Source organism: Homo sapiens, chromosome 3 (genome assembly GCF_000001405.40).
Source record: "Homo sapiens chromosome 3, GRCh38.p14 Primary Assembly".
NCBI classification, from domain to species: Eukaryota; Metazoa; Chordata; class Mammalia; order Primates; family Hominidae; genus Homo; species Homo sapiens.
The window spans coordinates 109,484,824-109,497,974 of NC_000003.12; the positions used below are offsets into that span (position 1 = coordinate 109,484,824).

Sequence of the window (13,151 nt, forward strand, 5' to 3'; positions counted from 1 at the left end):
CTTAAAATTTAGTGTCCGGTTTAAGGCTGAGTTCTGGAGAATTAGGCTATGAGAATTGAGTTCTAAAGATCATGGAACCCACGTTTTTCTGTGAATGTCATGTAAAGATTGGTAAAAGCAATATCTTTTACTGCCTTTGGTACAAATAAGTACTTACTCTGTGATTTCTGTGAGTTAACCCCATTTTTAACATGTGGAAGGAATTGCTTAATACTGGTGTTTCCATGGGCGTGTTTCTAGACTGTATTAGGTATTTTTACCTTTACTACTGCTAATGAAACTTCTTATTCTCTTTGTTCTTTTACAAAAAGCATTCTGATTACTTGACTGGGCTGAATAGTATTCTATGGTGTATGTGTGCCACATTTTTTTCTTTTTTTTTGAAGACATATTTTATTTTTATTTTACCAACAATTTTCAAACCACCTTATGTATTAATGATTTACTTAAGTCTTGTAAATTAAAAGGTATTTAGATTTATTACTATACATTTCTTATTTTATATGAGTACTCATTTATCTTTGAGGAATTTCTGGTTGACTGTATATCAGGTTTTACCATGTAGACACAACATATAATGTAATACATGTACATACGCATAAATACATCCAAGCATATATGTATACATATACACACATATATATACACATACACCAAAATACAGACCTTATAGCTTTCATTTTAGAATCTAATTCATGAAGTAATCACACAAACTTACTAGTTTATAAAATACAGTTGGATCCACATTATGTTTCTGACAAAACTGGGAAGTATTCATATGGCTAAATGTTTTTTGCCCTGATAGGTAACCTAATGAAGGCTATGGACAAAAATTTTGGGTAAAGAAGTTTCCATGGCAGTTTGATTTTTTAAAAAACAGTCTCTTTAGTCTCTTTTACTTTCCCTTTTTTCCTTTTTACAGTTTCAAATTATTTTAGAGTTAATTTTGAATTATTTACATTTTAATAGGAACTGGCTAAATTTTATAAGAAAAAGAAAATCTCCAAACAACCTTGAATTAATAAGTTTATCTCCTCTTTGCCAGTCTAGTTTGCTTCATTAGCAAATCAAATGCAAGTAAAAAACAATCTTAGCAGTTGTGTGTGTGTGTGTGTGTGTTTTTGCTGTTTTTATTTTATTTTAAAAATTCAACTTCTATTTTAGATAGTAGGTACATGTGAAGGCTTGTTACATGGGTTATATCGTGCCCAGGTAGTGAGCATAGTACCCAATAGGTAGATTTTCAACACACATCCCCCTCCTACTTCTTCCCTCTAGTAGTCCACAGTGTCTATTCCCATGCTTATGTTTATGTATGCTCACTATTTAGCTCCCACTTACAAGTGAGAACATGTGGCATTTGGTTTTCTATTCCTGTGTTAATTTGCTTAGGATTGTGGCCTCCAAGTTCACCCATGTTGCTCCAAAGGACATGATTTTGTTCTTTTTTATGACTGTGTAGTATTCCATGGTATATATGTAGAACATTTTCTTCTTTTTTTTTAATTTACAGAGTTTATTCAGATTTGTCCAGTTTTACATGTACTTGTATTTGTGTATGTCTGTCTTTGAATTTCTTTTTTTTTCTATTGACATCATTTATTATTGCCTGCTGACATTGTATCATTCTGCTCCCTTAATTTTCTTTCTTCATTTTTATTTTTATTATTATACCTTAAGTTCTAGGGTACATGTGCACAACGTGCAGGTTTGTTACATATGTATACATGTGCCTTGTTGGTGATTATCTAATCCATCACTGAGGGGACACCTAGGTTGATTCCATATCTTTGCTATTGTGAATAGCATTGCAATGAACATATGAGTGCATGTCTTTTTGGTAGAATAATTTATTTTCTCTTGTACATATAACTAGTAATGGGATTGTTAGGTCAAAATGTAGTTCTGTTTTAAGTTCTTTGAGAGATCTCCAAACTGCTTTCTGGAATGGTGGCTGAACTAGTTTTTATTCCCACCAACAGTGTGTAAGTGTTCCCTTTTCACTATAGCCTCGCCAGCATATGTTGTTTTTTGATTTTTTAATAATAGCCTTTCTGACTGGTGTGAGATGGTGTCTCGTTGTAGTTTTGATTAGCATTTCTCTGATGATTAGTGATGTGGAGCATTTTTTCATTATGTTTGTTGGCTGCTTGTATGTCTTCTTTTGAGAATTGTCTGTTCATGTCTTTTACCCATTTTTTAATGGGGTTGTTTGTTTTTTTGCTTGTTGAATTGCTTAAGTTCCCTATAGATTCTGGCTATTAGGCCTTTGTCAGATGCATAGTTTGAAAATATCTTCTCCCATTCTGTGGGTTGTCTGCTCTGTCCGTGGTTTCTTTTGCTGTGCAGAAGCTCATTAGTTTAATTAGGTCCCACTCAATTTTTGTTTTTGTTGCAATTGACAGCACATATTTTGGAGAAGAAATAGCCCTTGATGAAAAAAGTCAAGACATGTAATCTTGATCCACAGATAATGATTTGAAATTGGAGGAAAGAAAATCGTTGAATGTAGTATATAGGGTAAAAAATAAAAATAAATGAAGCCAGAATACACCATCAAGTTTAAGAGTCTCATCCATAGCTACTGTTGTAAACTGATGAGCCCCCTAGTTTAATAATACTATGGAGAAACAGAACATGAATCCTTGGGGATGGTAGAGTATTTGGAAATGGATTTTGGTAATGAGGAAGTCCACTAATAACATTTGGTAGCTTATGTCAGCCTATTTCATCCTAGGATCTCAACTTTCTTTATAAATATAGCTTTCAATAAAGTAATCAGCCATAGTTTACAAGTGTATAACCCAAGTTGTAGCAGTGAAGTAATATATATAATTAGCTATTGAATGCAAGATTGAGAATGGCCACTTACTCATTGCCTAATTACTTACCTACAATGTTCCATTTTGTTTATGTCCAACTTTTTTTTTTTCTGTTTTGGGATACCTGAAGGGTTAAGCTTGCAGGGGTGAGAGTTTAAAGCTTTTTGTGTATATGTGTATCTGCATATGTCTGTGTGTATGTGGCTGTATATACACATGTATATCTTCACTCTGTTCTATTTACTATAATTATTATGTTTTCTGAAAAAAATATCGCTATTTACAAATGATTTCACAGAAAATGTCTAAGGCTGATATTTTAGAGTATTTTATTATAAAACAAACTTTAAAGTAGTAAAATTTGAGTTTGGGATGAAGTGGCTGATTAGAGGTAGAATTCAGAAAGATTTCCAGATGGGAAGCTAAGATGAAGCCATGAGATTTGGTATACATTTATTTCCATTTGTTTTCTTTGGTGGTGGAAGCAAATGTCTGGTGAAATGGTTCTGTAAAGACCAGGGACAAACCAGAACATTAAAAAAAAATCAAGTTCCTGGATTGTTTTTTTTCCTTTGCCAAAGATGATCAGAATATTGTTAGACATATTTTTTTCTTAAAATTATGTATTTTCAAATACGAAGTCAGAAAGAGTATCCATCCTTTAGATTTACTCTGTGTAACATTAAGTGGTGTACTAACAAAACTGACAAAATGTGTTTTTTTGAAGCACACTGACAGGCAAAGAGTTTTTTTTTGAGACAGAGTCTCATTCTGTTGCCCAGACTGGAGTGCAGTGGTGTGGTCTCAGCTCAATGCAACCTCCGCCTCCTTGGTTCAAGTGATTCTTCTGCCTCAGCTTCCCGAGTAGCTGGGATTACAGCCATGCGCCAGCATGTCTGGCTAATTTTTCTATTTTTAGTAGCGATGGGGTTTCACCATATTGGCCAGGCTGGTCTCGAACTCCTGACCTCAAGTGACCCACCCACCTCGGCCTCTCAAAGTGCTGGGATTGCAGGTGTGAGCCAGTACTCCCAGCCCAAAGTTTAATAATATTGGAAGCTAGAAACAACAACAACAAAAACCAGTTGAGCTCTCAGTATAAAGCTGCTTGTCAGACTTACAATCAAAATGTAAATGTCAATACATTAAATACTTTTGCTGCAGCACAGCAAAAGAGAGAGAAACAGCTCAATGAGGTACACTGCCGGAAACTGGGGTGAAAAATGCTGTTTCAATTTTCTGAAAGTTGCATAAGACTAAAATATACTCCAGTAAATTAGGCTTTTACTTTAACAGGTTTGGTGTTTCATTTAGGGAGGAAAAAAGGAGATTAAACTCCAAAATCTCTTCCCATTCCATCCATTTTGACAGCTTTAAATGAAGAAAAGTAGTTTTTTGGTTATTACCTTCCATGATAATAATATTTTTTCTCATACTTCTCTGGCACATAAGACATATCCTTTGCTGTTGTCAATGTGTCGTAGCATTTTCCCTTCATATTGAACTTGCTTTCTAAACCAACTGTATCAAGTAGATATAATTTTTTGTGTAACTTTTCTAGCACCACAACCTGCCATTTGAGTGGAAATGCCTAGTAAACAGAATTTAATTTTCCAAAGTGTTTGTTCTTAGACTTTGTGGAAATTCAAGCTTTGCACTTTTTTCGTTTTCTACCGAGTTCTGTGCTCACAAGATAAGTGATTTTTTCTGGGAACTTCATTTATCTAGACTATAGGAGCACCCTAGTCTATAAAAAAAATAAAAATTTATATGCAAAAAGAAGTTGGGGGAGTTTTTCATGAGTGATCTTTAGCTTACTGAAAAGATCTGTCAAAGGGTTACTTCCAGAAGCCAGCTGTAAAAGTACATCTGCTTATTTTACACATAATTAACTACTTTATAAAGAAACCAAGGCAGAGAAAATTAAAGAATTAGGAATTCACTGCCAATTATAGAGCAATTAAAAATTAAGACATATTTATCTAAATCATCGTGGAAACCAACATGAAAACATAGTCTCTATGCCTAACAGGAGCACATGTACACAGTAGTCTGCTTGAGAAGCTGACATTCTTGATATTCATTGAATCATCTATCCTGGACTGTGCTTCGTTTGAAGGCCGCGAAAGTTGTTTTAGTTTAAATATATATCAGCTTTCTTCTCAAGGGACTTACAGTCTAATGAGAAGGATCAAATTATCAAATTGATGAATGTTTGACTCTTGCACTTAGGGAGGAGTGACTTGCTCTGGAATTGAGATTAAATGCTGTAGTTAGTGGTTCTCAGTTAATCAGAAAAATCTTCCAGAAAACAGGTTTAAACTTATGACCTAACTATCAAAGGGAAATATTCCCAATCCTATGGAGCAAGCTAACAATTTAGTGAGGTAGGAAGAAGGTATAGTTTAGATCTGGAAATCTGATTTATCTCTTAACTATGTGAGTTGGGGGAAGTTACTTTCTCTAAGCTTCAGTTTTCTTCATCTTAAGACTAATGGTCTTTATCTACTTCATAGCATTGTTGTGGAAACTAAATGAAATATAGTTGGAATGTGATTTGCACAGTCCTTGGCATGATTTCTCTAATTGACTTTCTATATATTCTCAATCTGCACCCATCAAGGTGTCATGCATTCTAGATTCACATCTGCCTCTGAGTTACAACACCTCATCCAGGTTAGTGGACAATCTGCCCGAAGTGCAAAAGTGGGTGCTGAAGAGCGGTTGGAAAGAGAGTCTCTGAGGACATGGTTGACACTAATAAAGAGTAGCCTGTTGGCTGGACTGCTCAGCTTAGAGGCACTAAGTCTGTAAGATTGGAAATTTGAAACACTTCAGCAACAAATGGAGAAAAACCAAAAACAAAAGTCAAAGTGAAAGAGGATTTAAACAGGAAGAATTAGAGAACTCCTTTGATGAATGATAATTTTCTTGAGAACAGAGATCAATGTTCTGCAACTTAAAAATTGGTTTGTAATTGTTTTTCTTTTGGCAGAGACTTGCTCTGTCGCCCAGGCTGGAGTCCAGTGGTGTGATCTCAGCTCACTGCAACCTCTGCCTCCTGGGTTCAAGAGATCCTCCTGCCTAGGCCTCCCAAGGAGCTGGGACTACAGGCACGTGCCACCAGGCTCAGCTAATTTTTGTATTTTTAGTAGAGATGGGGTTTCAGTATGTTGGCCAGGCTGGTCTCAAATTCCTGACTTCAAGTGATCCATCCGCCTCAACCTCCCGAAGTGCTGGGATTACAGGTGTGAGCCGCTGCGCCCAGCCTATAATTGTTTAATGAATGTATAAATAGGAAATCCCTGTTTACTGGGCACTAGCAGGGTTTTCTGCACACATGTGCCTCGACACTGACACACTGACAAGATAGGTTAGGAATGGTGAGTGCCTGTGACTTTCCCTATCAGTCCCTGATACAAATTCAAAGAAGAGATGATAGCCCTTATGAAAGCTAGGTTGCTGGTATCTGGAACTCAATTTCCTCTTTGGTTCAAGCAGAAAAGACTAGAAAGCCAGAGAGTCAGTGGTTAATGCAGTGTTAGAGTGGAGCAAGAGAAACAATTCTAGACAATGATTCTTCTACCTATGGCTAACAGGTGTCCATGGGACAGCATCGGGATGGGAAAGCTCAGCAGCTTAGGGAAGTACTCATACCCTGTCACTGGTAATAACAAGATCCAAAAGTAAGATGATATATAAAATAATTTTTACTTTCTGGACCACTATTTTTTTAAAAAATGATTATATCAGGAGGTTTTCTGCTTCAAAAGTTCCCCATTCTGTCTGGTTAGGTACAAGAAATTGGCTGAAATATCCAACGAATACAGGTAGATCAGAGACACCCAGCTGTTCTCCTCTTGGCATGAAAAAGACTTTTTTTCTTGCTAGTTATTTATTATTTTACTAAATGCCCAAAGGCTGTCAGATGGTGACATTTTTTTTCATCCACAGATAATCTAATAGTCTATTAGAAGTAGCCACTTACATAACAGTGGACACCTGAGCCTCTCCTGTATTAACTTTTCTTCAGTATTACCTTTGGACATGGGCCTGACACCAGAGAGATTGATGTTAGCTAGAGGTCAAATTTTAATGCATCAAGTCAGGTTTGTTTCTGAGAAGCCACCTGTTCCACAGAAACAGAAATGGTAGGGCGGAAGGGTAGAGTGAAAGGTCTCCCAATTTATCCCCCTATCTCTATGCAGTACATGGAGTGACCCAAATATTACATTAATTTTAATTGTACTTCTTGTTGTGCTGAGCTTGGTGATGTATCATTTCCTGCCTCTGTTCCTCAGAGTGTAGAATTTGTTTCACTGATAACACTGATAACTGCTGCCATAATGTCATCAAATCAAACATGAATTGATTTTGTGATTGAAACTGCAGATGCTACTATTATCTGATTACTTTAAATGCCTTTCTAAAGATACATTTGGCCTCTGTCTAATTCTCTCTGCTTTGATTTTCCTAGTATCCTCAGGGTTGACTTGTTACTCAAGGGTGAGTGCATCCTGTCAATATATAAATGATTCCCAGGGACTGGGGAAGAAACAGGAACCCTAGACTTCTGGACTACAGAGCCTCATTTTTGGTTCCTTTTAACTACATGTCCTTTAGATAATACTATTTTCATAGGAGAAAAATAAAATGAAGCTGAGAGTTCAGTTTTTTTTTCTAAGAAGAAGTTCACCCAAGCTTAAGTGTCCTGGGTTATATTGAAAGTGAGCGGACAACCCAGGCCCCTCCAGTATATCTGCAGCCTCCACCAAGATCCCAAAAAATCCAGCAGAACACTCTCTTGTCTCTGACCTTACACAACTCACCCAGTTTTCAACATGGTACAGTCTAGCTGCAAATAGATGACAGATGGCATTTTTTTTTGTTGATTAAGTATGAGACTCTCCTATAGAGGCAGGAGATCCTAAAACGTTTTATTTTGGTCAGTGGACTAATGACAAATAGCATAACACAAAAGCATTCAAAAATTAGTCAGACTTTTTATTGAGATTCTCCTGTCATCTAACCTTCCCAGAATTTAAAATTAGCTTGTCTGTACCTGTATTTTTGCCTCTGTGTTTGTGTGTCTGTGTATGTGTGTGTGAGAGAGAGAGAGAGAGAAAGAGAGAAACAGAAAGAGAGAGAGAGAAATTGATTTTTCATACCCTACCTTATAATTTAATAATTAATTAGCATCTTCTCCAGTGATGGAATGGAGAGATTGTTCATTAAGTCTGCAGATGGTTCTATGCTGGGCAAGCTAACAACATATAAAGTTAGTTAATTTCAGAGTTGCACAAAGCAGTGGAGAAGTAGATGAGATGGTCACGAAGTGTGGAAATTGGGTTGGGTCATGAATGAGAAATAAAAGAACCATAGCTTTATAGAGAGAAGACCAAGAAAATTAAAATAGCACAGTGGAAAAAATTTTCAGAAATATAAAATTTAGGACAATACTCTTCAGTGAAAATTGATAAGTGCAAGAAAAACCTTTACAACTTTTAGATATAAGGCTGGAAAATTGCTAAAAATTATTATAGAATAATATAATAATATAAATTTATATTATTATAGAATGAATAATAAAAGACTAAAATTAGATAACTGCATTGCATTTTATAGTGGTAAGGTAGAAGTCAACTAGATCAAGTGATAATGTGCTTTGTTATATAAAAATTAGATAAATTTATTAATTAAAAATATGTTTTGCTCACTTTATATGTGACCTCCTTTAAACCATTTTCCATATTGCCAACATAGTACTTTTTAAGTTTTTTTGAAATAATTTTAGATTTACATAAGTTTCAAAAATAAATTCCATATACTCTTTATATAGATTTCCCAAATGTTAACATTTTACCACATTTATCACTCTCTCTTGTTTCCTTTCTCTCTTTCTTCCTTCCCCTTTCCCTTCCTTCCATCTTTCCTTTTTTCTCTCTTTATAGTTATATATTTTGAACTGTTTGAGAGTAAACTGGAAACATGATATTTCTTTATATTGAAATACTTCAGTGTGTATTTATTTAAAATAAGTAATTTTTTTACATGGCTAAAGTACAGTGGTCAGCATCAAAAAATTACCAGTATAAAACTATTATATAATCTATAAATTTTGATCACATTTTCAGATTTCCCCACTAATATCATAATCGTACAATAATTTTTTTCTCTGGTTCAGACATGTATCCATGTTCACAAGTTACATTTAGTTATCATCAGAATAATCATCTAAAAAAACCCAGATCTGCTAGTACCACTCCCTGGCTAAACGTTTTATGATGATTTTGTAGTTTTCTTAAGATAAAATATCCCAGGCTATGTGTGATATTCAGCTGGTATGAAGCTCTGAAACCATATTGGCTTGTTAATGGCTCATCCAATTGTCTTGAGTTCATTCACATTGGTTAGTGCCTGTGTTAGAATGGTTGTTCAATATTTGCAATATTACTTCTGACCATGTCTCATAAAATCCTGCTTTCTTTTCCAGATTCATATTTTGAATTCTCTCCCAAGCTGTCTTTGCTGTGTTCCTACTTGTCACAAACTCCAGAGGGGAAAAGGTTTTATGCTACTTGAAATCTAACAATGTAGCTGCCACAGTTTCAAAGATGTTGCCAGAAGACACAAAACCCCTGGGTCAGAGACAAAGAATATTACTATGCATGGTACAAGAGGGAGATTAATGTTCACATGGTTCTCTTGACCCTCAAGTGCCATGAGGATGATGCGGAGGAAGACTCGGGTGGATGCTGTGCACACAGTGAATCTGTGTTTCAGCTTAGGAGCTGTTCTAAAAAGTAGGCTGCTAGCAAACTTGTCCAAACTTTGCCCTGGAGAAGATGTTATCTTTATTGTTCTGCGCAGGGAAACAGATCTGCACTTTGCCCCACAGAGAGAAACTATGTATCTTCTAAGGTTGTTTGCTATATAAATATTTTGGAAAGATAGTCCAGTAAAAGAGTTGATTCAAGTCATCCATAATACCTCTTATGGAGAAATGTCTCTCAACAACACTAACCATCTTTCAGTTTCTGTAATGGCCTATGCCCACTCTGAGTGCTGCTGTATTTGCTATTTTTCTTTTGGAAACATTTTCCCCGGCTTTCTCTGTCTCATCTAATTAACTTCTCATCATTCTTTAAATGTATTTTTTTTTTCAGTTCCTCAGATTAAGTTGGATTCCCCCATAGGTTGCTATTTATTCCATTAAGAGGATTTATTGGCTTGATGTGGTGGCTCATGGCTGTAATCCCAGCACTTTGGGAGGCCGAGGCAGGTGAAGCACAAGGTCAGGAGTTCAAGACCAGCCTGGCCAAGATGTTGAAACCCTGTCTCTACTAAAACTACAAAAACTAGCCAGGGGCAGTGGCAGGTGCCTGTAATCCCACCTACTCGGGAGGCTGAAGCAGGAGAATTGCTTGAACCCTGGGCGGCAGAGGTTGCAGTGAGCTGAGATCACGCCACCACACTCCAGCCTGGGCGACAGACTGAGATTCTCATCCAGAGTCAAATTTTCAAAAAAAAAAAAAAAAAAAAAGATTTATCACACTGTGATTTATGTCAGCGTAAACATTCGATTAATGTTTGTCTCTCACAGTAGACACAATTTCATAAATGTCAAAGACTGTGCTATGTTGCTTAACTTGAATCTCCAAAATTTAGCATAATAACTAACACATGGTACACAATATATGTTTTGGAGTGAAAAAGAAAATATGTGTCAAACATGTAGTATTTAAGTTAGCAGGACCTGTGCTTGTGCAATCTCATAGCAGTTATTCCAGATTTTTTGAGTATTTGATTTTGTCAAATCATCTGAAAATAATTAGAATCTGGTCTATTTATTTCTAGTATTTATACCTCAATTATTGTATATGAGTGGGTGCACATGTGTGTGTAACTGTAGTGGCTAGAATCTGTAATATAATGATGTGAGTACCAGTGACAGTGGGCATTTCTATGTTGTTCAACTCAAACAAGAATAGTTCTAATCTTTCATTAAATATAATTCTTCTAGAAGATACCTTTAAAGAAGTTTCTTTTTATTCATACAAGCATATTTTGAAGATATTGCAGGCTCAGTTCATCACCACCAAATAAAGATAAATTTCAATAAAGCAAGTCACACTATTTTTTTGGTTTCCCAGTACATATAAAAGTTAAGTTTACACTATACTGTAGTCTATTAAGTGTGCAATATACATATGTTTAAAAATATATACATACCATATAAAAAACTTTATTGCTAAAAAATGCTACTGATCACCTGAGCCTTCAGCAGGTTGTAATCTTTTTCCTAGTGGAGGCTCTTACCTTGATGTTGATGGCTGTTGACTGATCAGGATGGTGATTGCCAAAGGTTGTGGTGGCTGTGGTAGTGTCTTAAAATAGAAAATAAAGTTTTCTCCATCTATTTATTCTTCCTTTCATGAAAGATTTGAGATGCTGTTGAATACTATTTTACATGCAGTTGAACCTTTTTCAAAATTAGTGTCAATCCTCTCAAACCCTGCCATTACTTTATCAACTAAGTTTATGTAATATTCTAAATATTTTGTTGTCATTTTAACAATGTTCACTGAATTTTCGCCAGGAATTGATTCTGTCTCAAGAAGCCACTTTCTTAGAAGCAAGTCTTCATCTGTTCAGGCTTTATCATGATATTGCAGCAATTCAGTTACATCTTTAGGGTCCACTTCCAATTCTATTTCTCTTGCTATCGCTACCCAATGTGTAGTTATTTCCTCTATTGAAGTCTTAAACCTCACAAAGTCATTCATGAGGGTTGGAATCAACTTCCAAACTCCTGTTAATGTTGACATTTTGACCTCTTCCATGAATCATGAATGTTTTTAATGGCATCTAGAATTATGAATCCTTTCTAAAAAATTCTCAACTTATTTTGCACAGGTCCATTGGAGGAATCACTATTTATGGCAGCTATAGCCTTAAGAAATATATTTCTTAAATAATAAAACTGGAAAGCAAAAATTACCCCTTGATCCATGGGCTGAAGAATAGATGTGGTGTGAGCAAGCATAAAAACATTAATCTTCTTGTACATCACTATCAGAGCTCTTTAGTGGCTAGGTGCATTGTCAATTAACCTTAATATTTTAAAAGTAATCTTTTTTTAATGAGCAGTAGGTCTCAACAATGGGCTTAAAATATTCAGTAAACCATGATGTAAACAGATATGGTGTCATCTAGGTTTTGTTATTCCATTCATAGAACACAGGTAGAGTACATTTAGCATAATTCTTAATGGCTTTAGGTTTTTTTTTTTTTTTTTGAGACGGAGTCTTGCTCTGTCACCCAGGCTGGAGTGCAGTGGCACGATCTCAGCTCACTGCAAACTCCGCCTCCCGGGTTCACGCCATTCTCATGCCTCAGCCTCCTGAGTAGCTGGGACTACAGGTGCCCACGACCATGCCTGGCTAATTTTTTCTATTTTTAGTAGAGATTGGGTTTCACCATGTTAGCCAGATGGTCTCGATCTCCTGACCCTGTGATCCTCCTGCCTCTGCCTCCCAAAGTGCTGGGATTACAGGCATGAGCCACTGTGCCCGGCCAATGGCTTTAGGATTTTTAGAATGGTAAATGAACATTGGTTTCAACTTGAAGTCACCAGCTTCATTAACCTCTAACAAGAGAATCAGCCTGTCCTTTAAAGTTTTGAAAGCGGGCATTGACTGCTTCATTCTAACCATGAAAGTCCTAAATGGTGTTTTCTTCCAATAGAAGGCTGTTTTATCTACATAGAAAATCTGTTGTTTAGTGTAGCCAGTTTCAGCAATTATTTTAGCAAGATTTTCTAGATAACTTGCTGTAGATTCTACATCAGCATTTGCTACTTCACCTTGCACTTTTGTGGTATACATAGATGGCTTCTTTTCTTAAACTTCATGAACTAACTTCTGCTAGCTTCAAACTTTTCTCTGGCAGCTTCCTCACTTCTCTCAGCTTTCATAGAATTGAAGAAATTTAGAGCCCTGCTCTGGATTAGGCTTTGGCTTAAGGGAATGTTGTGGTTGGTTTGATCTTCTATCTAGACCACTAAAACTTTCTCCATATCAGCAATAAGGCTGTTTCACTTTCTTATCATTTGTGTGTTCACTGGAGAAGCACTTTTAATTTTCTTTAAGTTTTCCTTTGCATTTATTACTTGGATCACTGTTTGACACAAGGGGCCTAGCTTGTAGCATATCTCAGCTTTCAACATGCCTTCCTCAGTAAGCTTAATCATTTCTCTTTTGACTTAAAGAGAGACATATACAACTTTTCCTTTCATTTTGACACTCAGAAACGATTGTAGGATTATTA

The 13,151-nt window shown here is 35.9% G+C and overlaps 1 long non-coding RNA gene across 1 annotated transcript in view; it reads left to right on the plus strand.

Annotated features, from left to right (window-relative positions):
* Positions 1–10,344, plus strand: part of LINC01205 (long intergenic non-protein coding RNA 1205) — an 85,178-nt gene extending 74,834 nt beyond the window's left edge. The window contains exon 5 of the long non-coding RNA NR_109841.1: positions 9,316–10,344. This is a non-coding gene — a long non-coding RNA (long intergenic non-protein coding RNA 1205). The remainder of the gene's footprint in view (positions 1–9,315) is intronic.
* The last annotated feature ends 2,807 nt before the right edge of the window (positions 10,345–13,151 follow it).